Below are 13,237 nucleotides of genomic sequence, written 5' to 3' on the forward strand. Positions count from 1 at the left end.
CTGGACAAAGCATTTGTCAGCTCTAATGGATGTAAAACTCCCTGGCTTGACATGTTTTATGCATCCCCAGGGGCTTTGATCTCCTTGTCTGCGTACATAAATGAGAGGATTACTGAGACATCCCGAACGCGGCACCAAAAATGTCTTTCACGGAGGCGCTTTTGCCTCCAGGAGATAAGGTAACTAGCTGCCACCCCCCGGGGCCATTACGGCCTGTGCTTTGGGAGGGACTTCACTCAGGGAGAAATGTTGTCAGGAGGCTGGCCTACAAGGATCTCCCTGTCATTATTTCCCCATATTGTTTATATCTGGGCGATGTGGATAAAGAAACCGGCCACTTCTGGCACCGTCTCACCTCCCTGAAGATTACAAGCGACTGCGGCTGACATTTGCCAAGGTTTCTCTGAGTGACGTGGAGGCAGCACATGGTTACTGTCAGGGATTTCTGGGGGTGGGGGCTGGGGTAGAGCACTGGGGCGGGGACTGGTATTTTTAGGACACTCAGAGTCCTCTACTGGATTTAGGCCAGCTGTCCAGACCATTGCAGAGTGGCAATGTCATTCCTTTCATACTCCGTCTCCTGAGGGAGACCGGAAGGACAAAAGAGAGACTGGGGGCTGCTGCCCTGACCAATCCTCTGCCCCTGGAGGTAGAAGGCCGGTGTTGGAGATGGGGGCTCTTTGATGCACATCCAGAGTTTCAAGATGGCAGCCCAGATTGGGGAACCATCTGCAAGGCGAGATGGGGCCCCAGAAGTCATTTGGCTAAGCAGATTACAGCTCTGATCCCAGTTCTCTGTCCCCCACTTGTTCAATAAAGCCCATTATATGTATTAACATCATTACCATATGTGCCGCTAGGGACAGGAGATGCCAAAGAAGGCACATTCCGGCTGGGAGCAGTGGCTCACACCTGTAATCCCAGCTGTTTGGGAGGCCAAGGTGGGTGCATCACCTGAGGTTAGGAGTTCAAGACCAGCCTGGCCAACACAGTGAAACCCCCTCTCTACTAAGAATACAAAAAATTAGCCAGGCATGGTGGCGCACACCTGTAATCCCAGCTACTCCGGAGGCTGAGGCAAGAGAATCGCTTGAACCCAGGGGGCGGAGGTGGCAGTGAGCCGAGATCACACCATTGCTCTCCACCTCAGGCAACAAGAGCGAAATTCCATAATGGAAAAAAAAAAAAAAAAGGCACATTCCTTTCCTCAGTGAGCTCAAGAGCTTGACGTCATTTTCCTCTTAGTAAAATAGCTGTGTAGGCTCTATGGGTTGGAAGGGAACCTGAAAGTCTGTCCAACCCAACCCCACCTAATGTTTTAGGACTTTCTACAGTATCACTAACAAATAATCATCTGCCTCAGCTTCAATACTTCTCGTGATGGGCACCTCATTGTCATAAATCTCTGGCACTGTGGTTCCTATAGAGCTCTTTCTGTGTTGGACTCACACTTATCTGCCCGCACTGGCTCAGAGCAGCGCAAGTATGACCCGCCTCTACAGATCTCGTGTGGAGTAGCCGCTAACCCAGGGGCAGGTCATACTCCACAGCGTCAAATGCTGAAGTAAAGTTAGGTAACGTCTAAGCCACACCCCTCACTTTACCCCAAGCCACCACGAACCCCGGCTGGGCGTGTTGCTGAACTAGAAAAAGGTGCTTTTCCCCAAGACCCATTACCGCCACCTGCTGGAGGATTACCGTAATGACCTTGCATACCCCACAGCCCGCACAGCAGCCGTGGGGGGCCCTGGCTCCTCCCAGCGCCCAGCACTGCGATTCTGTTCCCTTCACTTCACCATGAGGAGGGAGAAGAAGGGATGCTCAAGACCCTCAACACTGGACGTGGATCGGTGATGTACAGGCAAAAGCCAAAGTGTATTTTTTAAAAAGCAAATAAAAAATCACTAAGCCTCTAGAGCAATCCTGCAAAATTTCAGAAAGTCTCGCACTCCTGGCTGCTTGTGGCCTCCTTCCCTGCCTCCTTTCATTTTCTTTCCTGTGTTGATTCCTCATTCCCAGGAACTGACCCCCACTGCCTCATCCTGTAGTAGATGGAGAGGCTCTGAGGCCGTGGACAGGCGTGGGCCACGCAGACATCCACTGCAGGAGAAACCAGGTTACAATTCTCCCACCCTGAGCCACCCAGGTGAGCTCCCAGGAGCATCAAGCTCAGTCATCCTCTGTGTCCGAAGAAATAGAGGCTGAGGTGGGGCTGCACTGGGGGCAAGAGGCCCAATCATTGCCTTCCAGTGGCCTCCAGCCCAGTCGAGAATCTGACTTGAACTTAACACAGACATTTCCTTCTTGAAAGAAAAGGTCACTCTATCGGTCTGATTCTTTCTGTTATTTCCAACAGGGGAATTTCAGTGCCAGGAATGTGACAGCAGGCTCCAAATCGGCAAAGACTTTGAGCACCATGTGACCTTTGCTTTCTCTCCTGTTCAAGCCACCTACGAATGCTGGGGTGGGAGAAGGGCTGTGACCTCAATGCAAGCCCCCTGGTGACACCATCCCTCCATTCCTGGATGTGCTCAGCAACCCTGTGCAGTGCAGCTGCGTGGAGGAGGTGACATTTGCACTGGGCCTTAAAAGATGGGTAGATTTAGAAAAGTGGAAACAGCCCAAGTGGTCATAGACCCATAAATGGATAAGCAAAATGTGGTCTATCCATGCAGTGAAATAGTCCTCAGCTTTAGAGAGGAATAAAATTCCGACGCGTGCTACAACGCTGGGTGAACCTCGAGGACATCATGCTAAGTGAAATAAGCCAGCCACGAAATGACAAATGCTGCATGATTCTACTTATAGGAGGTCCCTAGAGGGGTCAAATTCATAGAGACGGAAGTAGAACGGGGGATGCCAGGGCTGGGAGAAAAGGGAATGGGAAGTTAGTGTTTCATGGGTACAGAATTTCAGTTAGGGAAGATGGAAAAGTTCTGGAAATGGACGGTGGTGATGGTTGCACAACAGTGTGAAGTAATGCCCCTGAACTCTATTACTTAATGCCCCTGAACTGTATATCACTTAATGCCATGAAACTGTAGTTGAACAAGGTGAAAATGATAAATTCCATGTTATTTTTATTTCACCATAATAGTAATTTTTTTAAAAACATAGGTAGAGATTGGAGATTGGCAGGAACAGCATTCCAGGAGGTGGGAACAGCCAGTGTGAAGGCATGGAGTATCCCATTCAGTACCGAAGCAGAATTTGGTCTCCTTAGTGTGATCGCTTACCTGGGGAAAGTCAGCCAGTAGCTCTAGGTCTCATGGGTAAAACGTGGAATGCGAATCCCAGCCCAGTCCCTCTCTCAAGGGTCAACAAGGAGCAAACAGACAGCGGATGTCAGAGCACTTTGTGAACCACACAAGTGTGAAGTGGCTGCGGTGGCCTTGCCGGCAGCTGTGGGGAAGAAAGCATTTGGGCCGCAGACTCCAGCAGACCCAGGTTCAAATCCCTGCATCTCCACATACTGGCTGGGTGGCCTTGGACAGGTCACTTCACTCCTGGGAGTTTCCGTTCCTCTCGGCTGTGACATGGGTGTCGGCATGACTGTCCTTGGGAAATGCAGCAGTCAGCGTCCAACCAGGAAGAGGCAGCGTCCAACCAGGAAGAGGTATCTATTCCGAGGTTAAGACAGTGGGGCTGTAAATGGAGGAACAGCTTACCCAGGCGACACAAGGGCTGAGATGCCAAGCAAAGGGCAGGGGGGCCCTTGGAGATGAGCAGGGGCAGAAGGACACCAGCCTGGGGCCAGAGGAGATGAGAGGAGCCCCAGTCACTGGAGTCCAGGGACCAGAAAGTTGTAGAGTAAGTGGGGACCTGTGTGGGCCTGTTCAGAGGGAGTAAGGGCATTGATCTGAAAGCAAACAGGGCTAAAACCAGGACTGAAATCCAGGCCACTCGTTCTCTCCTCAACACCCATCCATACCCTTCTACTGCCACTTAACCCTCACACAGCTTTGCCTGACATGGACAAGTTTCCAGCATAGGCCAAACCCAGCCACAGCGTCGGGGAGCAGGAGCCGTCCAATGTCCCACAGGGCAGCTCCCAGGCTGGGCTGGTGACAGGAGAGGAGCTTGGAGGGGCGCATTGTGTCTGGGAGAAGGCACAGTGGGGCTGGAACCCTCCAGGTTCCCTGGCTCTGTACTGGTTTGCACCTGGGAGGCCCAGCCCTGGCTCAAGGACCACGAAGGTGAAATCAGATGAGTTGGATCCAGCTCCTGGGCCGGGTGGGGGCTAGTGAAATCAGGTGAGTCGGGTCCAATTCCTGGGCTGGGCTGGGGCTGGTGAACTGGTAGTGAGCCCTCGGTTCCATCACAGCCTGATGCTCCACCCTGGTGATGCGGGCCCACCTCAGCTTTGCTAGGAGTCTGACTCCAGTTCAGTCCCGGCTAGGGCAACCCCCTGTGGGTCACTTCACCCTTAGCTTCAGCCTGGGCCACCTCCTTAGCACACTCTCAAAGCTGACCTCGGCTCACTCCCTGCCCTGGGTCCTTTCCATGCCCCAGATCCACGCAGGCCTCTCTGCAGTCACCCTGCCCTGCCTCCAACTTTTCTCTGACGTGGCTTCTGCGTGCTGGCTCAAGGGTCATCCTGAGAGGGGATCTCTCCAATAGCTCCACGAGGGAGGCAGGACTGAGGCCCTGTGGCCCCGATTCCCCTCCACCTGCCCACCACACCACCCTCCAGGATGCTGCCTCGCCCGCCGCTCCCGGGGGCCACATCCCCTCCATCCTGCCTGCCACCTGCCTCCATCCCCAGGAGGGTGAGGTTAGGTGGGGGAATGCAGGAAGCATTTCAAAGCATCAGCTCCCACAGGCAGGACGGGGCATTTGAGCTGAACCTTGTGGAGAAACCTTGGGGAAATTCCAGGTGGCTGGGGTGAGGGAGGCGGGCAGGGAGTAGAAGGTACGTCCAGCGTCCAGTGACGGGAGGCTGAACTACGGGGCCAGGGGGACCAGGCCAGCGCCGCCCGGCCGGTGAGAAGTTACAGCTCTCCCATGTGAGGATTCCGAGCTGAGAGTCTCCTCACAGGGCCTGGGAGCTTTCAGGAAGCAAAGTCAAGGGGTCTTTCTTGGCTTCAGCTTCAGAGATTTAAATTGTGCGCTTTGGGCCTGAAAGTCTTGAGCAAGGGATTTCTGTTTTCATGATGGAGCGGAATCTCCGTCGAGGAACTTGCCGGACCAGGGATTAAAGGCAGCCTTCTGCTTACCAAGGTCCTTTCCCCATAAACACCTATTAGGCCCAGCTGAACATACTTTCTTGTTGCCTGAATCCCAACACTGACAGGGCCCACCCATCTTCCCCTCCTCCCTGCCCTCATCGCTCTCTCCCTGGGCCAGTCCTGCTCCTGGAAGTCTCTCCCTGCATCCGAAGCGAACTTCCTCCCCTCTAATGGCTTGCAGGCTGAGATGTACTCTGAGTAGGACCTTGAACTAGGCTGTCTGTCCCTTAGAAGCTGTGCCAACAACCCTCGCTGGGGACCGCCACAGCGAGCATCCACCTGAGTCTCCTCTGCGGAGCGGACCTCCTTGTTGGTCAGCCCACGCAGATTAGGAGACCGGGGCCTGTGTCGCAGCTGCAATGTGGTGTCCCTGAGCACATCACAGCCTCGCAGGGCTGCTGTGTCCTCGGTCGGTAACACAGGGAAGGAGCTGTCCTTCCTCCCTGATGGTTTCAGAGATCCAAATGGGACAATAGACACTACAGGGCATCGTTGATTACAAACAGCTGTGAAGTTGGAGGGGTTACTGTCGCCCTGGGTACTTTCACAGAACCAGTATGGTCGCTTCTAAAGGAAAGTTCTAAAACGTGTCTCCCCAGGACCCCTCTCGGCCTAGCTGCTGGACCAGCTCTTCCTCAAGTGCAGGAATACATTAGAAGCGGCCTCCAGATGCCACAGATGCTTTCAAACACATCTATTTCAGTCCTGGGATTACTGTTTTAAATTTCTGAGATGCCGGAGAAGCAAGAGCCGCCCTGACCACGTGCTGCTGCCTCCCGCCTGTCTCCCGGAACCTTCCTCCCATGGCTGCCCCTCCAGGACGAGGGCAGTGGGGGCAGCCCCACACTGCGCAGCTCGCAGCCTGGTGCTTGGACCCCGGCCAGCCCGGAGCCAGGATAACGAGGCAGCTCTCCTCCCAGCATTTGAGCCAATTAAAAAGACAAATGACCGCAGGCTTATCTTCCCTCCTCCTCAGCCCCTCTCTTCCTTTCCATTCCCACCCCGACAGGGAAATGGCCTGGGGACCTCAGGGCTTTGGGCCTCGGCTGCTCTTCTCTGGAACAGCCAGGCTGCTCCACCCTGCCTGGGCCTTTCAAGGCTGCTGATGGATGGGGCTTCTCCAGCCTCCTCTCAGAGCTTCTGAGTGTTCCGAGACCTCGGACTAGAAGGGAGGACAACGGGAGGGATGGGGCGGATTGGGAGAAAGTGAAGCAGAAAGGCCACAGGCTCAAAGACTTTTGTAAAAAATGTCAAAAGCCTTGGAGCTTGTTTTTCAGCTCTGGCCTTGGGGCCCAGAGCTTTAGCAGAAGGCTCTGATTCTGAGGGCCATTTGCTTCATGTAACCCGGTGGTTAGCGCAGCTGGATCCCATGTCTTGGAGGAGGGCCAGCTGCAGCTGGAGGAGCTCTGAGACCCAAAGCAAGTTCCTGGGGTCCTCCAAGCCTGCACCCGAGTTTGTCCATGCCTGTCATGGGATGGTTGACAAGTGTGAATGCCTGTGAGTACCTGGCACAGCACCAGGCACAGACAGGCAAGCTGCTAATGTTTGTCAGTTCCCTTCCTCGTGGCAACCTCGAGACACTGATTCCAATTTCTCCACGGCTCACAGCTTCGCCTCCCACCATAACTTATTTACAGGTCTTACAGGTTTCATCAACAGAATGTTTATCCTTAAATCTAACTGAAGAAAACAAACAAACACTTCTGTTCTCATCGCTCCCTGATAAAATCCTATGCATCTTTCAAAACCCAGTTTGATCGTGGCCTGTCTGGTTTTAGCTTCTCCGAGGTCCTCTCAGCACCGTATCGCTTCCATCCTCACCCTGTGGCATCATGATTGTTCCATTAAGTTAATGAATATTAACTATTAGGTCTGAGTAACACCCTGGTAAACAGGATGAAGGAAATCCCCCCTCCTGCAGTATATATTCAAGATGGAGAAAAGAGGCATTTTAAAAATTCTAGAAATGAAATTAAAAGCAGCTTGTGCCTCCTAGACAGCAAACTCCGTGCCTTCCTTCTCATTATGTTACGAGAATCTGCGCAGCCAGCAGAGCGGGGCACGGCCGATGTTCACCCTCCACACCACGCTTCGTTCTCAATGCTTCTCTTCTCTGGGAAGATGACCAAGGGTCTTTCACAGGCCCTTTTAGTGGTCAAGGTCCATTGCTCCTTAGGTCTGGACAGCTCTGAAGCCCATCTTATGGACACGCTGGTGGGCTCAGCAGCCGGCCCTGGAATAGATAAAGCTCCCTAGACCCTTGCTGCTTCCGAGTGAGAAGCACAGCAAAGAGGCTTGGCTGAGTCTCACTCCAGGCTGGGACCCCGGATGTGCGCCAAGGGCTCTCCCCCAGGAAGGGTTGTGTGTGCAGGCTCAGGGGAGCCCTGCCTACAATCAGGAGCTGCCTGCTGAGCTGGGAGCTGCTTCCCAGAGGACCCCAAGAGGCAGGAGCTGGCTTCCTTTCTGTTCCTGGCTGGAGCCAGCTCACTGGAGAGAGGCATTTCGGGTAATGTTCAGCTCAGCCAAGGCATGGAGTCTCAGAGTCCTCGAATTAAGGAGCTACAAAGAAATTCAAGGATCAGTCAGCCCAAAGTCGTCATGCATGGAGAAGGCAACCAAGACCCCAAGTAGAGAAGAGACCAATTTTAGACTAATGGGATCTCAGAGGTCATCTACTTTAGGGAGGGAAAATTCATGGGTTCTATGCTCCTGATCCACTAGTGAATCAATAATGGTGCACACACCACTAATCAAGGATGCCACTCCCTGTGCTGAACCCAGACAAAGCCCTCAATCCATTCGACGTGGCTCTCCAGACACTGACCACTGAAGACCACTTGAGATGGTGGTGATGATGATGATGATGATGGTGGTGGTGGTGGTGGTGGTGTTAGCAACCACTCATACATGCTGGAAGCCTTCTCCATGTTGAGTCTTTACCTGCATGGCCTCATGTGATTCTCACTGTGCTGTGAGGAAAGTATTTCTATTATCCCCACTTTGTAGATGAGGAAAGAAAGACTTTGAGAGGGAAAATAACTTGCCCAAGACTCCACAGCTAGTGATTCAAAAGCTTGCCCAGCCTCTGGCATGTGGGGAGGACAGGTGTGCAGGGAGGCACATGGGTCAGCCTGAGGCTTGTCCAGAGACAGCAGGACATGTTATCAACTCTTCCCAGCCTCTACCTGCGCCAGGGACTCAGCCGCGCCAGGATAATCATAACAGGAGTAGCTGATATTTATTTAGCATCTGCTGTGCTACAGGTACAGTGATGGAAAATTGACATACATTATCTCATTTAATCTTCAATGCGGTCCCACCAAGCAGGCATTATTGCTTTCACTTTACAGGTGGAGAAACTGAGGCTCAGAGAAATTAATTGACTTGCATAAGGTCATGCAGTCCATCCGAGGCAGCATCAGCATTTGCCCTCAGACCTTTCTGACTCCCAAACCCATGCTCTTTTTCTGTGGCATTGCGCTTCCCCTCTGGACTGGTCACCACCCATGGAAGTTGTTGGTGACAGCCCAGGTCTTCCCATGTTTGTGGGCCCAAGTGCTGCTGCCGGCACGTTTCCTAGATCGTTGAGGAGCCATGGCACCCAGGGCAGGGGGCAGGTGACCCCATCCTCAAGCCCGTGTATAGGTCCCCATCTGTACTCCCCACCCTGCCTGCCCACCAGTCTTTCAAACAGCTAGATTGGAAGCACATTGAGGGCAAGTCTTGGTCCCAAACCTACCCGCACCCCCATCTCAGGTATGGTGGCATGATGGAGGAAGAAGTACTCCAGATCTGATTTCGGGAGAGTTAGTTGAAGTCAACTCTGCCTCCAAACAGTTGTGTGATGTTGGGCGCTGATGTAACGTCTGACCACCAGCTTCACTTGAGAAATGAAAAGCTCCAGACCTTCCTCTCAAGGCTGCCAGGGGACCAGCTGAGTTCTCAGATGCCAGAGGGCTTGTCCTGCCACCTTGGGCTGAGCAAGTCATCCCACCTTGCTAAGTTCAGTTCCTTCATCAGCAAGATGGGCACGTGAACAACAGCATCTTCCCCACTCTTTCCCACCGTGCAGATCAGATGCAGTGGTATGAGGGGCGACCCTGTAGACTTTACAGCACTATGCAGATGGTATTTGCCACACGCTTGATAAATGGCCACCGCCTGACAAAACAAACCCTATTCCCAAAGTAGCAAAGTTGATGGCACAAAACCAGCAGTTATGAAATGTTGCCGGCTGCCTCGGTCCTGCAAGTGTCCTTGTGCCTTTCCTAGACAGTTGGGCTCTCGGGAAAAGGGCCCCTTCCCAGAGTGGGCTGTTTCTCAGGACCATCTCCTCCAATGCACAACAAACTAGAACTTTCTGACACTCCCTGGCAGCTGCAGCTGCTGCCTGAGACATCTCCGTGCCCTTGAGAAGGTAGCTTGTGGTGCAAGTTTAGTCTGAAATTCCATCCCGGGGCCTCCCCCTGCCCTGGATCCCAAGGCCTTGAAGATGTTGCTCGCTGTGTGGGCTGGACCCGGTGGAAGCACCAGGGCGGGAGCAATGGGAGCAGGGCTCGGAGACCCTGAGCTCGCAATAGTCAGAGGTCAAGGTCAGAAAACACAAGCACAGACCAGAGGCCCCAGAATCCTCTTCTGGCTGCAGCCATTATTAGTGGTGATAAATAAAAGCCTCTTCCATGGCTTTTATCATCTCACGACCTCAGATCAGTTTCCAAACACAAGTCACTCTCACATCCTTTGTCTTGGAAGACAGCAACACCTTCAAGTCTCCAGCCTGGACGTGCCCAGGAAGCTGCCTGCATTTCACCTGCATCTTTTAAATGGTGGAGGCTTGGGGACATTCTCTACCCCCAACCCCTCCTTATAGCCTGACCTGAGCTTTACAGTCAGCATGATCTGCCTGGGCTCTGTTAAGGAATGAATTGTGTCCCTCAAAATTCACATGCTGAAGCCCTAAGCCCCTGACCTCAGAATGTGACTGTACTTGGTCTTTGGGGGTAAAGTAAAATGAGGTCATGTGGGTGGGCCCAAATTCAATATGGCTGGTGTCCTCATAAGGAAAGGAGATTGGCTGGGTGTGGTGGCTCATGCCTGTAATCCTAGCACTTTGGGAGGCCGAGGTGGGTGGGTCACATGAGGTCAGGAGTTCAAGACAAGCCTGGCCAACATGGTGAAACCCTGTCTCTACTAAAAACACAAAAATTAGCTGGATGTGGTGGTGCATGCCTGTAATCCCAGCTACTCGAAGGCTGAGGCAGGAGAATCGCCTGAACCTGGTAGGTGGAGGTTGCAGTGAGCCAACATCTCTCCACTGCATGCGTGGGTGACAGAGCAAGACTCTGTCTTAAAAAAAAAAAAAAAAAAAAAAAAAAAGGAGATTAGGGTCTGGGTTTCATGGCTCAAGCCTGCAATTCCAGCATTTTGGAAGGCCAAGGCAGGCAGGTCACCTGAGGTCAGGTGTTCGAGACCAGCCTGGCCAACATGGTAAAACCCCATCTCTACTAAAAATACAAAAATTAGCTGTGCATGGTGGTACCTACTCGGGAGGCTGAGGTAGGATAATCGCTTGAACCTGGGAGTTGGAGGTCGCAGTGAGCTGAGATCAAGCCACTACACTCCAGCCTGGGTGACACGGCAAGACTCTGTCTCAAAAATAATAATAATAAAAGAAAAGGAGATTAGGCCACAGAAACACAGAGGGATGACCATGTGAGGACACAGCAAGAATGTGGCCATCCACAAACCCAGGGGAGAGGCCTCAGGAGAAACCAACCCTGCCGGCACCTTGAGCTTGGACTTCTAGCCTCCAGAACAGTGAGAAGATGAACGGCTGGTGTTGAAGCCACCTGGTCTGTGGGACTTTGTCATGGCAGCCTGAGCTGATTAATGCAGGTTTCATGCCAGCTTCAATTCAATTCAAGAAATGCAAATCTCCCAGCCACTGTCCTCTAGGCATTAGGCTGGATAGTGTGGATTCAAAGAGGAAACCCTGGAGGAGGGCGTGCTTGAATACAGGATCTGAAAAGCTGGAGGAGAGAATTCATTTGCACAGGCCTCAGAAGACATACAGAGTGTGGCCTGGTGAATTAGGAGGGACTGTCAAGGAATTCTCCTCAGAGGAGGTGAAATAGGAGCAAATTTCGAAGGCATATTAAGGTTTGGCCCACCAGTCAGGCAGAGAGGGGGGAAGGATCACAGAGCAAAGTGAGCCGTGGGTGCAGAGACTGCCTGTGAAAAGGCACAGCTGCGTGGGTGGAATGGGTGGTGGGAGGCTCAGAACTGCTCCCTCTGCTTGTGCTGCTGTAACAAAATACCATAGATTGGGTAATTTATAAAGAAGAGAAATGGATTCCTCACAGTTCTGGAGGCCGGAAGTCTGAGATGAAGGGGCCGACACTGGTGTCTAGAGAGGGCTGCTCTCTGCTTCCATGGTGGCGCCTTCCTGCTGCGAGCTTACCTGGCGCATGCTCACCTGGCACCTTCTCACCTGGCGGGAGGGGGAAAGGCCTCAGCTGGCCCCGGACTGCCCCTTGATGAGGCATGAATCATTCATAAGGGAGGAGCCCTCACAGCCTCATCACCTCCTGAGGCCCTCACCCCTTTATACTGCCACCGTGGGGATTAACTTTCAGCATGAATTTTGGAGGGGACACATTCAAACGACAGCACTCTCCAAACTTGGTTTCTCCATCTGTAAATGGGATAATAATATCTCAGGCAGTTGGCATAAGGGTCAGCTGAGACAACAGGGAAAGAAGAATGTTTATGGCAAAGCACTCCCAGAGATGACTTCAGATGAAGCCATCACAAGCCTTCTGATTTTTCATTCAACTCACCCACCTCCCACCTGTAACCCTTATTTGGCACAGGAGTCCATCAAACCAGGCCAGGCACAATTGTTTTTTGTTTGTTTGTTTGTTTGTTTTGAGATAGGGTCTCACTCTGTCATCCAGGCCGGAACACAGTGGTGTGGTCAGGGCTCACCACAGCCTTGGACTCGTGGGCTCATGCGATCCTCCCTCCTCGGCCTCCTGAGTAGCTGGGACTACAGGTGCACACCACCACACTCAGCTAATTTTTGTATTTTTTTGTAGAGACAAGGTTCCATGTTACCCAGTTGGTCTCAAATTCCTGGGCTCAAGCAATCTACCGGCCTTGGCCTCCCAAAATGCTGGGATTACATGCGGGAGCCCCCAATGGCCAGCCGGATTGTTTTTAATAAACTTTCTATTTTAGCATAGATTTAGATTTATGGAAAAGCTGCAAAGATAGTACAGAGAGTTCCCACATTCCTCCACGCAGTTTCCATCATTGTTAACATCTTACATTAGTATGTTAAACTTGTCAAATTAATGCACCAATACTATTATTGATACGTTACTACAAACTAAAGTCCATATTTTTTCAGATACTTAGTTGTCACCTAATGCCCTTTTTTTTCTTCCATGACCCTGGAGTATATGTCATCATCATGCCTCCTGAGGCTCCTCTTGGCTGTAACCGTTCTAGCCTGATTTTTGAATTCCAGGACACGGCATTTGCTAAGAAATGTACCTATGTATAGAAGTAGGAATGAGGGAACAGTTGGAGGATTTTTGGAGAAAAGCACATTATTTTTCAGCATTGTATCATTTGGCGAATCAACAACACGTGTTTGTTACAAATGAGACTATCTGTTCGCTGAAGGAGCCCTAAAGAGCCTGTGTTTATGATATTCTCAGTTCACTTTATCCTTTGCACTAAAAAATACTGATTTACATGTGTACATACACATAGACACACGCACACACACGCAATTTTAGAATTCACTCGTGTGATAGCCCCAGTCCTTCCCAATAGCCTGTCTCTGGCCCCAGGTGTTCTGTGTTCTCAGACTGTCTGAGCCCCTGTTCCTTGGAGGGTGAAAGGCTGCCTCCCTTGAGCCCAGAGGCCCAGGGTCAGTACACACTCAGCTGCATTCTCTCTGGGGCCCTCTGCCGTGGGCAGCACCGTACCCGATCCAGGCA

General features: G+C 52.0%; 1 annotated feature.

The window, feature by feature from the left end:
* Positions 11,472-12,308: an enhancer, noted in NCBI's record as "H3K27ac-H3K4me1 hESC enhancer chr8:11456947-11457783 (GRCh37/hg19 assembly coordinates)". NCBI's record gives its function as "activates a minimal SCP1, AML or CMV promoter by ChIP-STARR-seq in naive H9 embryonic stem cells {active_cell/tissue: H9 hESC(naive)}" and the evidence as "EXISTENCE:reporter gene assay evidence [ECO:0000049][PMID:30033119]".

The sequence above is a fragment of the Homo sapiens genome, chromosome 8, assembly GCF_000001405.40.
Source record: "Homo sapiens chromosome 8, GRCh38.p14 Primary Assembly".
NCBI classification, from domain to species: Eukaryota; Metazoa; Chordata; class Mammalia; order Primates; family Hominidae; genus Homo; species Homo sapiens.